Source organism: Homo sapiens, chromosome 7, assembly GCF_000001405.40.
Source record: "Homo sapiens chromosome 7, GRCh38.p14 Primary Assembly".
Classification (NCBI taxonomy): Eukaryota; Metazoa; Chordata; class Mammalia; order Primates; family Hominidae; genus Homo; species Homo sapiens.
The window spans coordinates 21,349,849-21,372,371 of NC_000007.14; the positions used below are offsets into that span (position 1 = coordinate 21,349,849).

The window sequence follows — 22,523 nt, forward strand, 5'->3', positions numbered from 1 at the left end:
AACCACGATGCCTGGCCAAGACATCATGTCTTAATCAATGCCAAATCAAGAGACATTCTACAAAATCACTGACCAATACTCTTCAAAAGTGTCCAGGTTACAAAAGACAAGGGAAGACTGAGAAACTGTCACCCACTGGAAAAAATCAAGGAGACATGACTACAAAACGTGGGATCCTGGATTGGATCCTGGGACAGAAAAAAAGGATATTAGATAAAAAACTGGGGAAATCTAAATGAAATCTGTAATTTACTTAATAGTATTGTACTATACCAATGTTAATTTCCTAGTTTGATCATTGTACTCTGGTTATATAAGAAGTTAATATTAGGGCAAGCTGGGTGAAAGGTGTATGGGAAATCTGTACTATTTTTGTAACTTTGAAAAGCTTGAAATTCTTTCAAAATTATCATATATTTAAAAGCGAGACAGTGTATGGCAGATGCACCTGACAGCAATAACTTAACTTACACATACCCTGAAGGGTGACCCTATGGTCTAAGAAGAATGTGTGTTCGGAGTTCTGTGCTAAGGAATACGGGAGTGGCCAACCCAGAGATTTACTCCTTATCTATGAAGGATGATTAAATTCCCAGCCCTTAGAACACAGGTCATACCGGATATTGAGGTCCTTTGTTTTGGGTTAAATGGAGGTTTCTAGGTAGACGGTGCTAAGTAAAAAATGCCATGTCAACTGCATGCTTTTTACAAACAGTAGAGGTTCTCCTGTTCAGCCCACATCCACTGGGCCACCCCTGTACGTAAGTACCCCCAATAAACCCTATGTCTCATTCACTATCTCTGGGTCTCTTCTTCAGCCTCTCAGACACAGTATCATCCCTATTGTAGTCAGTGTAAGGGTCTGGCATGACAGACAGCAATGATCTTTGTCAGTACTACCCAAAGTACGTGAGACCAAACGTTTAGAAATTGTTTTAGCAGTAATTTTATGTCTATTGGACTTTAAAAGTTTTTTGACTGGGGCTGAGGCTTCTGGGTTTTTCTTTTGTTTTTTGTTTTCTGAAACAGGACCTCATTCATGCCCAGGCTGGAGTGCAGTGGCATGAACACTGCTCACTGTAGCCTCGACCTCCCCAGGGTCAGGTGATCCTCCCACCTCAGCCTCCTCCTAAGTAGCTACAGGCTTGCACCACCATACCCAGCTAATTTTTGTATTTTTTGTACAGATGGAGTTTTGCCATGTTTCCTAGGCTGGTCTTGAACTCCTGAGCTCAAGCTATCTGCTTGCCTCAGCCTCCCAAAGTGCCGGAATTACAGGCATGAGCCACCACGCCTGACAACTGGGGCTTCCTGAAAAAAATAAACAATAATAACAAGTAAGAAAGTAGTGGGAGGGGCTCTACTGTGTCGTCCCTGGGAAGACTGTCTTTTATTTCACTGACTTTGTGGGAATGGTCATGCCGTCTCTCTCCTTACCTGTTTGTAGCCAACACCAAGAGTGTACCAAATACATTACTCAGCAAGTCCTCAAGAAATGCATCCAAGTGAGAAAAGATGACTAGAATCCACATTTTTCTGCATTAGAAACTTTATAATGCGAAGCTTGTATGTGTAGAGGTCTTTGACCATCATTAGTGTCATAAATGGTCGCTAATACTTATATATATATGTATGTATATATATATATATATATTTTTTTTTTTTTTTCATTTTAAAAAATGAGGCCAGGCACAGTGGCTCACGCCTGTAATCCCAGCACTTTGGGAGGTCAAGGCTGGCAGATCACTTGAGGCCGGGAGTTTGACACCAGCCTGGGAAACATGGCAAAACCCCGTCTCTACAAAAAATACAAAAATTAGCTGGGTATGGTGGCTAAAAATTAGCCAGGCGTGATGGTGCGCAACTGTAATCCCAGCTACTTGGGAGCCTGAGGCAGGAGAATTGCTTGAACCCCCGGGCAGAGGTTGTTGTGAGCTGAGATTGCACCACGGCACTCCAGCCTGAGCGAAAAAGTGAGACTCCGTCTCAAAAATAAATAAATAAATTAATTAATTAATTAAATAAATAGATAATGATTAAGCAACAAAGATCTCTTAAAGAGTTGGAGTCAAACCAAGCCTAGAACTTTTCATTTTGTTTTACAAATTTTATTTCGGCACTCAATCCTTAACCAGATGTGACTACCTTTTAACTCTGATAATGCAGCAGTAAAATTGGAATTTGGATCTCCAACTTTATCAAAAATAACACATTTCTAGTTTTGAAAAGGGCTTTTTCTTTAAAAAAATAATAATTTGAAGGACAATGATTCAGCTGTTGTATTCTTCGAATAGACAATAAATAGAATTATAGCGTTGCTTTCTTCCCCTCCACCTCTTTCTCCTCTTCCACCTCTGCTATACAAATTTTCAAAAAATGTAACATCAATGTGAAATAGAAATGTTGCCATCCACTGTGAAGCAATGAAGTACAGTGTTCATTAAACCCACCAATCCAACTAGAACCCTGAAATAGACTGTGGAAGTCATGGATTCATCTGCATAAAGCCTTTTCCTTTCACCTCTTCTGGTAAAAGAAGCCCTCGCCTCTATGGGAAACAGGGAACATATCTTCCTATTTAGAAGGATTGCAGGGATGGGAAAGTCAGCCAACTTCGGCCAATCAGGCTCATCCTCTGGACTTGTGCTGTACCCTTTCTCTAACCAACTGTAGGCTATGGCACTAACAATGTATCCCTGGAGCAGTGTAGGGTACCATGTATTTTACCAGAGGAAAGACATTTTCAGAGAATAAAGGCAACATAGGGAAAAGCAGAGCGGAGACATGTAGAGAGAGAAGATTGGATGGCTGGGGAGGAGAAAGGAGTCAGAGCAAAAGACAGAGAGGAAACAAGACAGAGAAAAAGACAAGACAGAGAAAAAGAGAGGAAACAAGAAAGCAGAACAGAGAGGCTGAGGCTTTCGATAATGACATGTGGCACAAGAACCCCCATCTCTGTTGGAAGTCAGCAGCTCTTCTGTACCCTTCAGTTACATGCCCGAGGATATCCCAATTTTTCTTCAGCTTGTTGAGGTTGTCATTCTGTCATTTAAAAAAAATAAACATGTTGATGAACATGACCCCTTTATGTGTCTAATCAAATGAAAGAAGGAACTAAGCTCTATAGCAACTGTCCTTGCCTTGACATTTGAATATACCTTTGAGCATGCAGCAGATCAGTCCAGTGAAATCGAAACTGGAACTCAGTTATAAGCTTTCCAGACAGGGCTTGAGCTACACAGAATTTCTAAGAAAGTAAATTTGACTTTGATGTTAGTTCCTCTTTAGTGTTCCCCCATATGACCAGATTCTCACTGCTCTTGTGCAAGGGAGAGAAAAATCATCTGATATGTTTCATTAATGTTTAAAGGTTAATGAACTTACAGCTTACTCCTTCTGGTAACATAGCTGCATTTCACAAGGGTCAAGATCAATGTTTAATCTAAAGAAATGAATCTCTAATGCTGAAATCATGAGGACAGTAATGCATGGATGAGGAAGCTATTTTCTGTCAAGGAAATTATCCTGCTATTTACATGAGGATACAAGTGACACTTTAGGTATCAGAAGCTTGTGCATCTATTTAAAATCCAGATAAGTGATCATGCAAAGGATCGACTCATTTTTCTTTTCTTAGAGTAGAATGAGGCATACGAGTTCAATTATTGAACTTATTGAAATTACTTCCAATAAGTTCCTTCAAAATCCAAAGATATTAATGTCCAATCCTCCTTGACTAACTGCCCTCAGGGACTTTTACCAGCAGGCTATTCTTGACTATACGGGTGCCTAAGACATCGAAGATAAGTGTTGTTCTTAATCAAAATAAAACCACATTCAAGATTTCTGTTCATTCAAGTTACAATCTGTGCTGACAGGACACTAAACAAATACTTACTTTACACAATTGAATAATTGGAATACTAAAAATTTTAAAAGCATTAACCATCTGAATTTCTGAAGAAGGTGAAGAATATTCTAGATTTCTTTGGAAAAATTTCCCTCATTCACTTTCAGCCCTTTTGAATGCCCTCCCCTACATCTGGTCTCTACCTTTTTCCCTTTTGCTTCCTCCATATTCCATTCTTTGGTTTGGTTTGGTTTTGTTTTGTTTTGTTTTTTAGAGACCGGGTCTTGCTCTGTTACCCAGGCTGGTGTGCTGTGGTGCAATCATAGCTCACTGCAACCTGGAGCTTCTGGGCTCAAGCGATCCTCCCACCTCAGCCTCTCTAGTAGCTGCAACTACAGGCATATGACACCACACCTGGCTAATTTTTTTTTTTTTTTTCATTTTTTGTAGAGACAGGGTCTCCCTATCTCTAGGGCTAGGCTAGTCTCAAGCCATCCTGCCGCCTCATCCATTCTTTCTTCATTTGTTCTTCCTTTTCTCTTCCACCCATCATCCCTTCTTCCTGCCTCCTTCAATCGATTACTTGGTTAGTGTTTGTTGGGAAGTTAGTCAGTTCCAGGCAGTGGGCTAAACACAAACATGAAAAGATGGGGTCCTCGCTGTCGTCCTTTTCTGTTGTTGAGTAACAAATCACCCACAAATCTCGCAACTTAAACCAACACGCATTTATTACCTCCCCACTCAGTATACCAGAGAACAACCTGGTGTGGCAGGAATTTCTGCTCAGGGTCACCCATGGCCAGTATTCAGGTGTCAGCCGGGCTGGGAACTTAAGTGTAGGCTCTGAGGAGAAATCCACTTCCAAACCCATTCAGGTTATGACAGAGTACCCTACAGTTACAGGACTGAAGTGCTTTCCATCTGAGATCTGGGACCTGCCTCAGCTCTTTGAAGCCACTCACATTCCTTTTCCCATGGCTCCTCAATCTTTAAGCAGTAATAGTGCCAAATGACTATCGTGCTTCAAACCTGACTGCCTCTATTGTCATCAGCCAGAGAAAACTCCATTTTTAAAGATGTATGTTATTACATTGGGCCCACCAGGCTAATCCAGGCTGGTCTCCCTCTGTAACAAAACATAATCTCAAGCATGATAGCACATTCTGAAGTCCCAGGGACTCGGGAGGGACTTCACTGGGGGCCGCTTTAGAACTTCTGCCTACACATCTGCCATCAGGTGCTCACACAATACATACAAAAACAATAGCACTGCAATAAGATAATTGTACAAAAGAAAGTGCGGTAAACAAAATGTCACACATACATACAATGGAATACTATTCAGCCATAAAAAGGAAGAAAATTCTGACATGCTACAACATGGATGAACCTTGAGGACATTATGCTAAGTGAAATAAACCTATGATCCCACTTATTTGCAGTATCTAGAATAGGCAAATTCACAGAGACAGAAAACAGAATAGAGGTTTCCAGGCATTGGCGGGAAGAAGAATGAAGTTGTTGTTTGATAGTTATAGAGTTCTGTTTGGGATAATGAACGTGTTCTGGAAATGGATAGTGGTGACAGTCACACAGCATTGTGAACATACTTAAAAGTACTGAATCGTATACTTAAAAATGATTTACATGGTGAACTTCATGTTCTGTATATTTTACCACAATAACATAAAATTAAAGTGTTGAAAAAATAGACTGGAGGCATAAGAAAAGAACAGCATAACTTGCTTCCTGAAAGAGCAAAATGTCAGATTGGGCAGGAGATAAGATCAGATGGGTGTGGGTGAGAAGGGTGTGGACTGTGCGGTGGGAGGGACAATGTCATAATTTCAGTTCCCTTTTTGGTCACCACACAGCTAAGGTAACTTGATAATTTTGTCCAAACCTGCCTTCCTTTCTTGCACTAGCTGCCTGGAAAGCAAACCTTATTTAGCAATCACTAATAGTCCTAGAACTTTTGAGTGTTAATGATAGAGGTGTGAATCAAGTACCTGCTATTTATTAAGTGTCACGTTGGTGACCCCAAATTCACCTTGCTTCTAGGAAATAGAAAGAAGGAAACACAGAGACTGAGCACTATGCTGAGCACTGTGCTTCCTTACATAGCTTCAATGCTTCACAATGACAATGCAAGTTAAGTAGCCATGAAACTTGTTTTCCCCAGTTTTACCAATAAAACATTTGGGGTTGTGAAAGTCTGAATAATTGCCCGCATGTCAGGTAACAAAGAAAAGAAAGTACCTTCCCACCTGAGGGTCTTGTAATATGCTGTTCCCTCTACTTGGAATGCCTATCTACTTTCTCAACCTGTCACCACCACCACCATCATCTACACACACACACATCTGCTTAACATTCTGTATCTAATTCCTACCCATTAGTAAGCAAGGCTACCATATTCAGCTTTATAGATTGTGTGCTGCAAGAGTCCCAGGAGCACCATTCACGTAGACCACAATGTAAAAATGCCCTTGGAGTTGTGCAGTGCCCAACCTGCACAAACATACATGGCAAACCTCAGTCTCTCTCTCTTTTTTTTTTTTTTTTTTGGAGATGGAGTCTCGCTCTGTCACCCAGGCTGGAGTGCAGTGAGGCAGTGATGCAATTTCGGCTCACTGCAACCTCCGCCTCCTAGGTTCAAGTGATTCTTCTGCCTTGGCCTCCTGAGTAGCTGGGATTACAGGTGCCTGCCGTCATGCCCAGCTAACTTTTGTATTTTTAGTAGAGATGGGATTTCACTATGTTGACCAAGTTTGTCTCAAACTCCTGACCTCAAATGATCTGCCAGCCTCGGCCTCCCAAAGTGCTGGGATTACAGGCATGAGCCACTCTGCCCTGCCTATACATGGCAAACCTCTCTCAAAGTTTTGGCTTAGGTGTACTTCTATAGGTGGGCCGGGTTAGGTCTTCTCTCATATGCATCTGTATTCTTCTTTAAAGTATCTAGTACAAGCCCACTTAAATAGTTATTTGCATAATTAATATTTTATATATGACTTCCCTGCTAAACTGCAAGTTCAACAAAGGGAGAAATCACATCTGCTTAACTCTTTTTGAACAAAGAAATAAGATAGAGCTGGGTTTGTGTGAGTTCAAAGCAAGGATCTTCCAACTGTCACTTACTGGTGCCTGTGACTGATGCAGAAAAAGATATGGAACCCAGAGAATAATGTACTAACTCTTTCAAACTTAACTCTTGCTATTGTTCCTTCTTTCTGTAACATGTTAGATTAAGTTTGTTTTTTGTTTTTTGGGTTTTTTTGCAATTTTGATAAGGTGTCCATCATGGTGTTTAACATGCCTATATTATCTGCTAAGGGGGCATTCTACAGAGCCACATTTTATACTAGGTAACTTTACTGAATTGAATAGTGTCCCCCCAAAATTCAAGTCTGCTTGGAACCTCAGAAATGGGACCTTATTTGGAAATAGGGTTTTTGCATGTATAATTAGTTAAGACAAGGTCACCATGGATTAGGTTGCCCTAAATCCCATGATTGGTGTCTTAATAGAAGAGGAGACAGAGATCCAGGTACAACAACATTGGGGAAGGAAGACAGGAGGGAAGGAAGGGAAAGAAGGAGGGAAGAAGGCCATGTGATGACAGAGGCAAAGACAGGAGTGACGCAAGCTAAGGAACAAGACTTGTCAGCAACCACCAGAAGCTACAAAGAGGCAACAAAGGACTTCTCCAGAGCCTTTGGACAGAGAATGGTGCTGCCTACAATTGGATTTTGGAGTTCTAGCCTCTGGAACCATGAGAAAATAACTTTCTGTTGCTTTAAGCCACTCAGTTTCTGGTACTTTGCTAAAGCAACCCTACTTAGGATCAAAATAATCCTAGGTGCTATAGCAAATAAACCTCCAATTGTTAGTAGCTTAGTGATAGAATTTGAGACTCAGCAGTTATAACCTACAGTAGGTGTTCCAGGTATATTGGTGGCTGTTCTCCACATGGTGATTCAGTGATCCAGGCTTTTTAAATCTTGTGTTTCCACCACTTTCTAGGGCCCCTTTGTCTATGGAAACGGGAAAAGAGAGTTTAGAACACATATTAGCTGTTTAAGTTGTCTTGACTTAGACGTGACAAAAATTTCTGCTCACATTCCATTGTCAAGAACTGGTTAAATGGCCCCACTAGATAAAAGAGTAAATACAGGTGCTTTTGAGTGATAATTCTATATTGTGGAAGGGGAACACACATTTTGCTGGGCAATTTGCCATCTCTACTACACTGCCCTCCCAACCTCAGTTGATGTGGTCAGCCTGAGGAGTAACTTCATGCTTGGCATCAAACAATGAGCTTGATTAATCATATTCTCTTTTTTTGGAATTTTGTTTTAGAACTTTAGAGAGAAGATCAGCTGTGGTGGCCTCACACCTGTAACCCCAGCACTTTGGGAGGCTGAGGCATGCAGATCACTTGAGGTCAGGAGTCCGAGACCAGCCTGTCCAACATGGTGAAACCCTGTCTCTACTAAAAATACAAAAATTAGCTGGGCATGGTGGTGTGTACCTGTAGTCCCAGCTACTCAGGAGGCTGAGGCAGGAGAATCGCTTGAACCCAGGAGGCAGGGGTTGCAGTGCGCTGAGATTGCGCCACTGCATTCCAGCCTGAGTGACAGAGTGAGCTCTGTCTCAAAAAATAAAAAAAAAAGAACCTCAGAAAGAATTTAGCTCTTAATAGCTCTCTTATGTTACAGTTTTGGGTTTGAATTTTTTAACCTCTTGCCTCAACCTCTTCCCAATTCCTGGGATCAGAGACTGTACCTGATTCATCTTTATACCTGACAAAATGTCTCACCCAATGGTTTACAGATGGCAGGATTTCACACATATTAGTGTATGCATGCCTATATGAATGTATGAATTAGGAAGCATTAAGAGTAAAAAGTTATGGTACTATAATTTTAATGTAGGTGATCTAAGTGACCATACTCAACTGTACTTAAAACATTATTTTATGGGGCTTGTACAGTGACACTTCTCCATTTGTAAAGAAATCAGTCACCAGATTCTAATTTTCTTCGTTTGCCATGCTCTGTATTCAACAGTGCAGGAGAACTGTGTGTCAGAGGAAGTGATCACTCTCTATTTACATGCAACTTACTCAGGTTTTTGCACAACAGTTTGCCATTTGTCAATACTAACATGTCCTCAGCAAACAGCCACATTGGATGAATTATGGTTTTCTTCTCACACTCAGAGCAGCAGTAACCCACGGCCACGTCTAGTTAGAGCCTACAGTCGTTAACCATCATTACAAGAGACTCGGCCTTAACACAAAAACATTTCAGCAGCTCTTTGGCAAAAGGCTAAAATATCTGGGTTACTCAATGTCATATCCAATTTTGTGCACTTCTGTGGGATTGCTGGAAGCAAAGTGAAGTTATTGGGGCCTGTGAAGTACAATAAATGGACTCCTAGACAAGCTCCTTCAATGTCAGGGAACTGGGTATGTGTGTTATGAAATTAAATGTATATAGATTTATATACAGATGTTTATACTGTTGTAAATCAAGATATATTCTTTCTTAGCTAAATTGGGATTTGCTTATAGATCTGCTCTTTTCCCCACAGAAGAGGTTGAGCTTTGTTTGTTTTCTTCCCCTCAAGAGCAGCACCGTATGATGCCACATAATTCCTAGAGATATCAGAAAGTAATCTTCTCTGTTCCCTTATGAGTGTCAAGAGCTAATCCCTGGGGGAAAGGGAAGAATTTTTGAGATTTATCTGCTGTCTTTTTTAAACACTTTGCAAGTGAATTATTGCAATCTGCATGGGGCACTCAAAATGACAACTCTCACTAAACACTAACCACCATTCAATTGCTGAAGAAGAGGGCAAAGAAATATGACCAGTATAAAATGGGAGTCCTTTTCTTGAAGCCAAGAGAAGAAGTTCATATAATTGTTCAATTCTGCCACAAGTCATTACATTGGAAGTGAAAAATTTAGTCAAAGAAGCGACAGAGTTAAATGGGGGTATCTGACATGTTTTATTTTCACCAGTAGGACTGACAAATTTTAAAAGGATTAGATGGCTGAGATATCTTCTGGTCAGGAAGTCTCCTTGAACAGGAAAGAGAAAATTTAGGTTGTCAGTCTTAGATACTTTTTGTCACTACCTCTATACTTTAAAATCTATAACCAAGGTGAATCTAAAGGATAATTTTAAATGGTCCTTGGTGGAACAATACTGGTGGTCTCTTTTTCTATGCCATGTAAAGGGAGGGAAATTTGCTCTTACCTGCCCAGTAGAAATAGCCCAACCATTCCTGCAATTAAAAATGAGAAAATTTAGCCTGCTTTCAGTGTCACTATAGGAAGGAAAAAGAAAAAAAAAAAAACAATTACTCTAAAAACAATAAAATGTACTCATGATAAATTATCCTGGTGATATCACCTGTACTCAAGAAAGAAATATGACAAATGATAGATTCTTTTTCTTGTTTCCTAGGAGAAAGAAAAATAGCATATTCAAACATCAAGACAATAACAAGTTTTGTAGTAATAGAATTTTTTAGAGATATCTAAAGATAGCACCACATTTGAGTAGCATGTATGTATCAGGCTCTGCTCCAGGCACTTTCTGCCAATTATCACTAATATGCACCATCAACTAATAATAAGAGTGGCTATGTTACTATTCCCAGCTTACAGAAGAGGAAACTGTTGCTCAGTGAAGATCAGAAATGTGTCCAGAACATCACAGCTAGTAATTTGTGGTGCTAGCATTTTGTGATACTAAAAGCTGTGCTCTCTCCATCATATTACAGTAATTCCCAAAACACTGGCCCCAGCATCATAGAAACAATCTAGGGTGAATCTTAGCTATACTACACAGAGCTAGATGGATAGAGGGAAATTTCTAGACACAATCTTCCCCTTTGTATGGGGTTCAGAGTTTCAGAACCATCCTGATATGAGCAAAGTGAAAACCCATATTTGGGTAACTGACTTACATACAAATTAAACTAATAAATAGTCAGGTGTCCCCACACAAAATACCTCCTGTCATTACACTACTACCAGGTAGTACAATCCTTTCCCTTTTTAGGCTGCCTATTATTTTGACGTTAGCCTTTATGTGTGAGTTCTCAACATGGCTCGTATTCTCTCATTGCTGGTGTCCTGCTGCAGAGGGGCATAAACTATAGGAACACAAATCATGTATAAAAGTGCTATCTTGGCTGTGCACAGTGGCTCACGCCTGCAATCCTAGCACCTTGGGAGGCCAAAGCAGGTGGATCACAAGGTCAAGAGATCGAGGCCATCCTGCCCAACATGGTGAAACCCCGTCTCAACTAAAAATACAAAAATTAGCTGGACGTGGTGGCGCTCACCTGTAGTCCCAGCTGCTTGGGAAGCTGAGGCAGGAGAATCGCTTGAACCCAGGAGGCGGAGGTTGCAGTGAGCCAAGATTGCGCCACTGCACTCCAGCCTGGCAACAGAGGAAGACTGTCTAAAAAAATAAAAAATTAAAAAAATTAAAAAAAAAAGGGCTATCTTATTTCTCTGTTCTTTGGAAATTTCATTTTCCTGATCTTCTTGTTACAGCTTTCCCTCACTTCTCCCTCTTTTACAGTGCACTCCTTTTTGTCTACTGGTGTCTCTACCAGCTCTGAAAATTGAGAACCCTTGGGAATTTGTCACTTGGCTCTGGACCCATTACATCATCCAAACAAAAATGGTTTTCTTCTAAAATATAGTGGCTCTGCATTTGAAGTCTTTCTGTCCACCTGGATTAATCATTTTCTTGAGGTCGTCTGATAATTTTACACCTTTTCTAGCTGAGTTGACCTGTGTTGACAGATGAAAGCATATTTGGCCACATCCTGTCTCCTTTAACCTTCATTCATATCACAATGCTTTCTGGTGCCTATGATCTAAATGCTTCTTCTACATACCTCTCTCCACTATCTTGGCTTTCTCTCTTATCTAGACTGTCTATCAAACCACACTGTTATCTGCTTGACCATATGTATTCCTACCTCCACCAAACAGAAATCTTCTTACAGCTGTGTCTAATTTCAAAAGAGAAATATTTGCCATTAATATCACCATGAAGAAGTTCCCAAGCAACCCAATAGAAAATCCACAAACTATCTTTTTTTTTTTTTTAAATCCACAGACTTTGGTGTTGCCTAGAGCCTTGGCTAGAAGAATTTCTGACGTTGAATCTGATCACTGGCCACCGCTTTGGCTTCCTGAGCAGTATTCTGCATGTACATGTCAGCTGAGACATCCTCTTCCAACCACCCTAATCAGATTGGCTTGTTCCAACCAAAGGCCCTCGTAAGAATAAAAATTTAAATGGTCTTCTTCTCTCTTTCCTCCTCCTTCCTTTTCTTACTTTTGTATGTAATCAGTACACTCCGCAAAACACCTAACATTTACTTTGCTGTTGTGTTATGTGTCTCTTTTTATGTATAAGTTTTATATCCCAACTAGACTAATGACTTCTTTAGAGAAGCAACATTGTCCTATAATCTTTATGCTCCCAATACTCTCTAGCATGAGAAAAAACAGATACTCAAAAACTGTTCTTTAATTGTACTTTAATTTTCTCTGCAGGTGGATTTTAACTTTTTATAGCTTCATTAGTTACTGTTGGTGTTCTGAAGAGGAGCAGATTCTGCAAAATCCAAAGCTTTTCTTCATCATATGGAATTTAAGGAAAAGAAAAACAAAGGTATGTCTGGGGACTTTGACTGAGAAGAAGTGGCATTTAAATTTTTTCCACTAACCCCAGTATCGGCACCAAGTTAATATTTAGTTTCTGGAACTCTCATTTCACTTGAATTCCATTACTCTTGCTCTCTCATCAAAAATGTGAATTCCCTATAGGATCACGCAGAACAGACACTTAAAATTTACTCATGAACTTCCTAATTCCAAGCAGTAGTCACCACAGTTAAAAATTTTCGTTGTGAAATCTTAGAAAACAAAGATCATATCTAATCAAAACTATATAAATACTAAAGAAATCATAAAATGTACATTTTATGTACCTGCAATAAATTTAATAAACATTAAGTAAAAATACAGTCACTTTTCTCTAACAATTAGATTTTAATATAGTCACTAAATGATTCAGGCAACTATACTACATAAATTCAAGCTAGCTAAATCTATAAACTTAAATAGCTAGACTTTTTTTTTTCTTTGAGATGAGTTCTTGTTCTGTCATTTAGGCTGGAGTGCACTGGTGCAATCACGGCTCACTGCAGCCTCAACTTATTGGGCTCAGGTGATTATCCTACTTCAACCTCTTGAGTAGCTGGAACTACAGCCGCACGTCCGGCCAATTTTTCGTATTTTCAGTAGAGATGGTATTTTGCCATGTTGCCCAGGCTGGTCTTGAACTCCTGGGCTCAAGCTGTTAGTCCACCTTGGCCTCTGAAAGTGTTGGGATTATAGATGTGAGGCACTGCGCCCGGCCAATAGCTGAATTTTGTTTTATATTTACTTTAAAATTGTTTTTAATGTGCTATCCTTAATAACTGTTATTTGCACTATCTGTCCCATTCTCTAATAAAAGTCAGTGTAAAAGTTTCCATACTTTATGCCATGTAATATATACCCCTACCCACCTAATCAAAATAATATGTATACAGCTCAAAAATCATTATTTCAACAACCAAAAAAACCCTTTTCTCTCCTCTTCTGTCATTCTTTGTTACTTAACCATGGATAATGATTATAATATAGAAATTATCTTTGCAGTTTTTCTAACCTCAGAAGTTTTAGATATGTAGTATCTCAAGGGCCCTTTTAAAATAAGTATCTTATGGGTTTATTTCCTGGATGTAGATAATCTTCATCAAGAGTTCTGTTTGTTAACAATTATTTTCTGACTTTTTCTACACAAAGAGACCCTGCAGTCAATATTTAAAGCATATTATATCTAGCCACACTCAATGCACATTTTATCCCAACATTATACCTTGAGTACAGTATGGTAATGAATGAATGAATCCACCACCATATATATCATTGATTAACATGTATTTATTTATTTATTTATTTATTTTGAGATGGAGTCTCACTCTGTTGCCCAGGCTGGAGTGCAGTGCCGTGATCTTGGCTCACTGCAAGCTCCACCTACTGGGTTCATGGCATTCTCCTGCTTCAGCCTCCCGGGTAGCTCGGACTACAGGTGCCCGCCACCACACCCAGCTAATTTTTTTGCATCGTTAGTAGAAACGGGTTTCACCGTGTTAGCCAGGATGGTCTCGATCTCCTGACCTCGTGATCCGCACGCCTCGGCCTCCCAAAGTGCTGGGATTACAGGCGTGAGCCACAGCACCTGGCCCCATTTATTTATTTAACTAATAATAATTGAGAGTACTATAGGCCAGGTAGTTTGCTAGATAGTGAGCAAACAAAGGTGCAAAAAGACAAGAGACAGACAGCAATCTAAGTGACTCAGTAAGTAAATAGGAGGGACAGCCAACTTAACCTTGCAGGGGGCTGGGTATAGAGGTTAGGGGGTTTGACAAAGGAAGCTTCCTCAGGAAAGAGATCAAAGCTGCAATCTGGAGATTGAGCAGGAATTATCCTGGGAAATAGAAGGAGGAAGTAATAATAGTTAACACTTAAAGTGTCTCCTATGAGCCAGGTACTGTTCTTTACATACAGTAACTCATAGTCTTCAAAACAACCAGGCAATATAGGTACTGCTAGAACACATTATAGACAAGGATACTGCCGCACACAGAAATTAAATAACTTGCTTGAGGCCATGCAGCTGGCAAATGTAGAATCAGATTTCGAGCCCAAACATCTGACCCCAGAGTACTGTCTTTTCCAGGAGAGATAACATAGGCCCAGCAGCAATGGTAAAAAAGAATAATAAGAGACCTTACATTTACAGAGCACTAGCCCAAGCCCCCAACATATATGATTGCATTTATTCCTCATACAATTGTATGAATTAAGTGCTATTTGCATCATCATTGCAAATGTAGATTCAAAGGCTTAAAAATATTGAGGAACCATAATGAGCTACCACTTTACATCCACTCAGATGGTTATAATTTTAAAAAATAGAATATAGCAAGTGTTGGCAAAGATGTGGAGAAATTGGAACACTTGTACATTTTTGCTGGGAGTGTTAAATGCTGCAGCCACTGTGAGAAATAGTTTGGCGGTTACTCAATAAGTTAAACATAGAATTACCATATGACTCAGTAATTCTCATCTTGAGTATATACCCAAAAGAACTGAAAACAAGTGTTCAAACAAAAACTTGCATGGAATATTAATAGCAACACTATCCATAACAGCCAAAAGCTGGAAACAACTCAAATGCCTATCAGCTGATGAATGGATGATCAAAATGTGGTATGTCCATACAGTGGAATTTTATTCAGTTGTGAAAAAGAACTAAGTACTGATACATGCTATGACATGGATGAATCTTAAAAACATTATGCTCTGTGGTTGCCGTTTTGTAGTGAAAAAGAAATTATACTAAGTGAAAGAAACCAGACACAAAAGACCACATATGGTATGATGCCATATATATGAAATATTCAAAGCTGTGAAATCTATAAAGACAGAAAACATACTGGGCCAGACACAATGGCTTATGCTTATAATTCCAGCACTTTGGGAGGCTTAAGGCCAGGAGTTCAAAACCAGCCTGGTCAACATAGCAAGACCCCATCCCCACAAATGAAATTTTTTAAAGAAAATTAGCCAGGTGTGGTGACATGCACCTGTAATCCCAGCTGAGGTAGGAGGATTCCTTGGGTCTAGGAGTTCAAGTCTGCAGTCAGCCGTGATTGCACCACTGCACTCCAGCCTGGGCAACAGAGCAAGACCCTGTATCCAGAAAAACAACAACAACAACAACAAAAATCCAGATTATTGGTTGCCAGGAACTGGAGGGACAAGGAATAGAAAGTGGTTGCTTAATAGGTACAGGGTTTCCTTTTGCAGTGGTGAAAATATTCTGGAACTAGATAGTGGTGATGGATGTACAATCTTGTTTTTTGTTATGTGTATTTTATCACAGTTTTTAAAAGTAAAAAAAAAGTTGAGTAATTTGTTCAAGGTTGCACAGCATAACTAGGAAAAGGTGGATTTGAACTCATGCAGGAAAGACATTTCAAGAATTCCAAGTTGTTTGATAGGACTACATTGAAGTACATGCAAGTGGGTGGAAGAGAAGAAAAAATGGCAAAAGTTGAGGCAAAGGTAGGAATCAGAGTCTTTGTCATGAAGACACATTTTAAAGTGAATGGAGACAACCGTTGAGGCACTGACACAGGAATAGGGAGCCTGAGGATGAGAGAAGGGCACCAACCCCTCACTGAAGTCAGAGTGCTCCTCGCTAGATGAACTGTGTCTTCTGGGTGTCTGAATAGAGAAAGTGACCACTGAAACACAATAATTGCCGCAGTTGGTCAACATCCATCCCCCACTCCCAACCTAACAGTGAAAATAGAGCTATTCATTTCTATACCTCAAATACCTCTTTTGTAAAGAGAGATAATAAAAGTTCCTATTTCATAAACTTGCCATAAGGATCAAATGAGTTAATATACGCAAAATTCTTGGAACAGTGCCTGGCACAAAGTCAACACCACAGAAATGTTTGCTATTACAGTTTTGTTATTATTACCTCGATGGTTTCCATAAAGTGTCCCTCAGACCTTTTCATTTTTATCATGTATGATAAAACCAGGTGCTGTCTTATCTGGAATGTTTGCCCAAGCACATTACGTTTTGTTAACAGAGGATGAATCATTGAAACCTGACCTCATGGGAAATAGCATTATCTGCCATTTCATCTGTATTTTGCAACTACAACATACATTTCCTTCCCAGTTGCTTTGAATACAGAGAAAAAAAATGTTCTTCTCAGACTTCTTTGTACTTGTCCACAAATAATTTAGTAGTGCTAATTAGGAGAGTCCTAAAAAAATTTTAATACAATGCAATAAAATAAGAAACTATACCTAATAGTTCAGGTAGAAGATGATATTTTAGACTTTCAAGCAAAAATGCACACTTTTTATCATTACAAATATTGCATACACATTATGCTGTTTCATACAAATTCACAATTACAGAGGACAAAGGCAAAGAAAAAGAGACATTTTTAGATTCTGCAACTGTCCATCATGCTTTAGAACTTTCTGCACCAAGATTCACTAATCAGCTCTCACTGATCAGTCCTCATTATGTAAAATGTGTATCAGTGAAATGTGAAAATGAGCCCTCTTTCACTGTAACCAGACCTGCGGAAAGAATTTTAAATCTTGACATTTGAGGCTCTTTACTAATGACAACAGTGTGATAAACAGTTCATTAATCCTATTTATCAGGCTGAGAAATAAGCCAAAATTGCCATAGGCAAGTAACACTATAAAGGAGTTTTTAAAAAACAAGGAGGTACTTTATGGTTCTTTAATCTAAACCAAGGACTTAGTTTTTTTTCTGTAAAGGGTCAGTGAGTAAATATCTCTGGTCTTGTCAGTCATCACAACTCTATCATAACTACTCAACCCTGCCACCGTAATGTGAAAGTCGCCATGGACATTATGTAAACAAATGGGCCTGGCTGTGTTCCAATAAAACTTTATTTACACAGGCTACAACATGGATGAATCTTAAAACATTATGCTAAGTGGAATAAGCTAGACACAAAAGGACAAATATCGTATCATTCCATTTATATGAGGTATCTAGATTTGGCAAATTCACAGAGATGGAAAGTAGAATGGTGGTTGCCAGAGGCTGGAAAGAGAGGGAAATGGGGAGTGAGTGTTTAATGGGCCCAGAGTTTCTGACTGGGATAATGAAAAAGTTCTGAGGCCAGGCATGGAGGCTCACGCCTGTAATCTCAATACTTTGGGATACCAAGGCGGGTGGATCACCTGAGGTAAGGAGTTACGAGACCAGCCTGGCCAACATGGTGAAACCTCGTCTCTACTAAAAATACAAAAATTATTCAGGCATGGTGGCAGACGCCCATAATCCCAGCTGCTCAGGAAGTTGAAGCTGGAGAATCGTTTGAACCCAGGAGGCAGAGGTTGCGGCGAGCCGAGATTGCACCACTGCACTGCAGCCTGGGCGACAGAGTGAGACACCATCTCAACAACAACAAAAAGTTCTGGAGGTGAGTAGTGGTAATGGTTGCATACCCCTATGAATGTACTTAATGCCACTGAACTACACACTTAAAAATGGTTAAAATGATAAATTTTAAGTTATGTATATTTAACTACAGTTTTTAAAGAAAACGTATTTATAAAAACAGGCAGTCGGCCTAAGTGCAATAGCTTGCAGACCCCTGATGTAAACTTTCTTGTCCTTCTCACTATACTTCTTCCTTTGCCTCATACATCTTTGTAGTTGCTGTTGTTGTTGCTATTGCTGCTCCTCATTTCATTTCTTGATTAACCTGTGCAGCCAAAATGTTGTTTTGTGTGCAGCGGAAAAGAAAACCATCTGCACTCATTGAGGGTTACAGTTCTGTCTAAAGGTTGTTCATTCTGGAGCTCATAGCTTCAGCAGATGCAGATCTAGAATTATAAATATAAGAGTATGCCGTTCTGTGCTTTCAAAATGGCCATAGTGATACAAAAACATTTCAGGACAGATGGGCTGGTTTCCACGTTTTCTGGTGGGGGTCTAAAAAGGCTTCACTTTTGTTTGTCAATGGCCAGTAGCACAGATTAGAGTGCTGGTGTTAAGAGTGCACCTGTCAACCATGGATGTCAAGAGCTTTTCTCTATGTGAAGGTTTTGGCTCTTGTACAAGTTGAACCCTCAGCCTTGACTCATCTCTCTGCTTTGACTGATTAGGTCAATTGATCATAAATCATCTTCCAAAGACTGGCCAGTGCTCAAGCTTTCAGGTCAAACCTGATTCCTCAAAATAGAAACTCAGGCAAACAGAAATGTTCACATTTTAAAAGGAAACCTATTTTAAAATGAATATTTTGAAAATACAAATTATTAACATTATTATTGGAAGATAACTTTAAGGGGGTCAAATCAGTCTATTAAAACCTCTTAACAATTAGAATCAGACTGGGCGTGGTGGCTTACTCCTGTAACCTCAGCACTTTGGGCAGGAGCATCACTTGAAGCTCGGAGTTTGAGAGCAGCCTGGGCAACATAGCAAGACCTCATCTCTACAAAACATCAAAAATTTTTGACCAGGTGCAGTGGCTTGTTCCTGTAATCCCAACAGTTTGGGAGGCCAAGGTGGGAGGATCACTGGAGCCCAGGAGTACAAAACCAGACTAGGCAACATGGCGAAACCTCATCTCTACCAAAAAAAATATTAGCCAGGTGTGGTGGCACACACTTTTAGTCCCAGCTCCTCGGGGGGCTAAGGTGGGAGGCTTGAGCCCAGGAGGTCGAGGCTGCAGTGAGCCAGGATTGTACCACTGCACTCCAGCCTGGGTGACAGAGCCAGACCTTGTCTCAAAAAAAAAAAAAAGAAAAAAAAAATTAGCTGGCTGCAGTGGTGCATGCCTATAGTCCTAGCTACTTGCGAGGCTGAGGCCAGAGGTTCCTTTAAGCTCAACCTTATGAGTTAAAGGTTACAGTGAGCTATTATTGCACCACTGTGTTGCCTGGGTGAGAGTGAAACCCTGTCTTTTAAATTAAAAAAAAAATAGAATTCCTTCTTTACTATTAACTTGAATCTAGTGCACCAAAATTGATGACCAAAGAGTTGGCCAACGTAAGCTACCTTTGATGGAGCTGAAACCACAGTGGTAATAAATTCTGTATCTTTAATGAAATGAAAATTATTTTTATTAATCTGAGAAAACAAAGCTCTAACAAAGCTATTAATTTCTAAAGGATTTTTTTTTTTTTTTTGAGATGGAGTTTTGCTCTTGTCACACAGGCTGGAGTGCAACAGCGCAATCTCAGCTCACTGCAACCTCTGCCTTCTGGATTCAAGCAATTCTCCTGCCTTAGCCTCCCGAGTAACTGGGATTACAAACACCCGCCACCATGCCCGGCTAATTTTTATATTTTTAATAGAGATGAGGTTTCACCATCTCGAACTCCTAACCTCAGGTGATCCACCCGCCTCGGCCTCACAAAGTGCTAGGATTACAGGCGTGAGTCACCACGCCTGGGCTTCCAAAAGGATTTTTACCTAAAGGGAAAAAAAAATCTATTATTAGTATTATTTACTAATCATCCAACATTTTTAAAGCACCTTCAATACCTGCTTAAAAGACTAAAATCATATGACTTGCACACTTCAATAATTCTTCGTGTTTTTATTTTTTCTCTAATTTTTCTAATGAGTCTTTGCATGGCAAAGTGCAAAAGACATTGATTTTAGAAATTTCAAAAATGCAGACATCAAAGAGCCTCAACAATTTTATTTGATATAACAAAAATAGATTGTTTTAAATTTTTAATGCCATTCTCACTTTTTTTCTTTTAACACTTGACTCTTCTATCAATAAAACACGAATTGGTTGAAAACAACTTATTGGACTTTGTAAGGGCAAATATTGTTTTCAAATAAAAAGATAGATTTGTATTTGAAACCGCATTTTATTTAAATAATTTTAATTTGCATATATGAAAAAATGTGTTAAAATGTTTACTAATACGAAAATGCAGAAGTAGCACGTTGTCTACTTTAGCCATATATCTATTGTAGTCTCTCTACATTGTGCAGGTCCTCAGGTGTGAGGGGGAAGACAGACAGCAGGTGTCTGAGAATTTATAATCACCAAAATGATTAGGTTACAACACTCATTTCTAAACACGTGAAGTATTTACAGATCACTTGAAGAATCACTCTAGTTTTCGGGATGTGACTCGTTGACCTTCAAAAGTGGAAGCAAGTGAATTTGCCATCAGGCTCCTTCTTTCATTTTGAAGTTTAATATAGTGCCACTGGCTCTCCAATATCCATGGTGCCAATTTCCCACTGATGTCTTATATCTTGGGTTTCCGTTCCCTTGTTAGAAAAGTATAGTGATGAAATAGGTGAGGTAACTTTGAGATCAGAAAGCCCATGTAATTACATAGTGTTTCCAGCACAATCTACAACGCTCTGACACCGGATATCAGCACAACAATAAGTAAGGGCAAAAAGCTTGTCAGGGAAGTTTGGCAATGAGTATAGCCTCAGGTAAACACAAAGGCGGTGGCTGTTAACTCTTAGAAATCAGAATGTTTATGTGGAGAATAAGTTGGCATCTCCTGATCATTTCTAGGGGGTCTTTTTGTGAGGCTCATTAAAAAAAAAAAAAAGACCAAAGACAAGATGTCGTGTACATAAAGTGAATGCCTCTCTTCTGAGAAGAATCATTCACAAAAAGGATTATTTCCAACCACAAGGGGATATGCATAGTTGTTAGAATTACATAAAACATTTCTTTTCTAAAACTGTCTTATAATTCTGCAATTTGAAAAATTTAACTAGCTGCACTAATTGGACTCACACAAATAAAGCCTCCAATTTTCTTATTGAAAATTGAAGTCCACCCTGTTAGTATTTTCCCTTCATAACGATGACTCTCCGGGGCCCTGAATGCCTGCTGAGCTTTCCAAAAAAAACATTTTTGTCATTTTAAATGATTTGTCTCTGACTATACATAAAAGCAATTAGAACAAATACTTTTATTTAAATGTATGTGCTGAGCATTTTTTTCTTTGGCTGGTTTCTCGATTTTGAATTTCTTACCATGATTTGTCTGCACACTTCCAGTGCAGCTATTACAGCAAACTCTTAACTCTGCTTGCCAATCACATTGAACAGCTCTAACTAGTCATGTGTGGAATTCAGAGAACAAAGAATCCTTCCATGGGTCTGAGATTCCTTCACCTCAAAAGCACTTCAGATCACAGACTGAACCGAAAGTTTCTACTGAAACCAACCTCTACAATTCTTAGCATAAAAGTAACTATTAATATCAGATACTGCCCTATCTGCTTTAGATAGAGATACCTCATTTCCCCCAACAAACAAATTAAGTAGTAATTATCATTATCACTTCACAGGTATGGAAATTGAGGCTAGAGTATGTTAAGAAGCTTGTCCGAGGTCCTCCCTGCTAGTAAACATTGAAACCAAATTTAACCTCTTTTCTGTCTAATACCAAATCCAACACTTCCTTCATTACACTGTGGCAAAAGTCACTCAAGCCCCCCGGTTCTCTCTCCTTGCAATGTAAAATCTGTACACATTGCCATGGTAAAAAAGTTAAAATGTAAAAGCCAACATATAAAAAACCATGTATAAAGAATATACAGTAGGTTACTAATTTAATTTGTGCTTAACGTATATATAAAAAACTAATATACTAAAATATTAGTAGTGGCCATCTTTTGGCGGATTACTGGCAATGTTTCTTTCTTACACATTTTTTACTTACAAATTTTCTATATTAAATATGATACTTTTATTAAATATTTATTTAAAATGCAAGGAATGTCACTAAGTAGTCAAATGCAAATGGAATAATGAAATGGATTTTCAGAGTGACATGAATTTGTCATGTTGTCATGTTCAATTGATAATTAACATTGGGCTTAACATGTCGGTGAATTTTTAATGTCCAAGGGAGGGCTTTTAAATGCAAAATGAACCACTTAGAGCTGTCTAAATGTGAAATTTGTTATTGTGGTTAATTAAAGGACTAAATTTTTCTT

At 39.1% G+C, this 22,523-nt stretch overlaps 4 annotated features.

The window, feature by feature from the left end:
• Window positions 3,234-3,443: an enhancer, noted in NCBI's record as "active region_25696". NCBI's record gives its function as "activates an Ori minimal core promoter by ATAC-STARR-seq in GM12878 lymphoblastoid cells {active_cell/tissue: GM12878}" and the evidence as "EXISTENCE:reporter gene assay evidence [ECO:0000049][PMID:35858748]".
• Window positions 5,508-5,557: an enhancer, noted in NCBI's record as "active region_25697". NCBI's record gives its function as "activates an Ori minimal core promoter by ATAC-STARR-seq in GM12878 lymphoblastoid cells {active_cell/tissue: GM12878}" and the evidence as "EXISTENCE:reporter gene assay evidence [ECO:0000049][PMID:35858748]".
• Window positions 15,402-15,491: an enhancer, noted in NCBI's record as "active region_25698". NCBI's record gives its function as "activates an Ori minimal core promoter by ATAC-STARR-seq in GM12878 lymphoblastoid cells {active_cell/tissue: GM12878}" and the evidence as "EXISTENCE:reporter gene assay evidence [ECO:0000049][PMID:35858748]".
• Window positions 18,550-18,750: a silencer, noted in NCBI's record as "peak6425 fragment used in MPRA reporter construct". NCBI's record gives its function as "represses an SCP1 promoter by STARR-seq MPRAs in K562 erythroleukemia cells {active_cell/tissue: K562}" and the evidence as "EXISTENCE:reporter gene assay evidence [ECO:0000049][PMID:32103011]".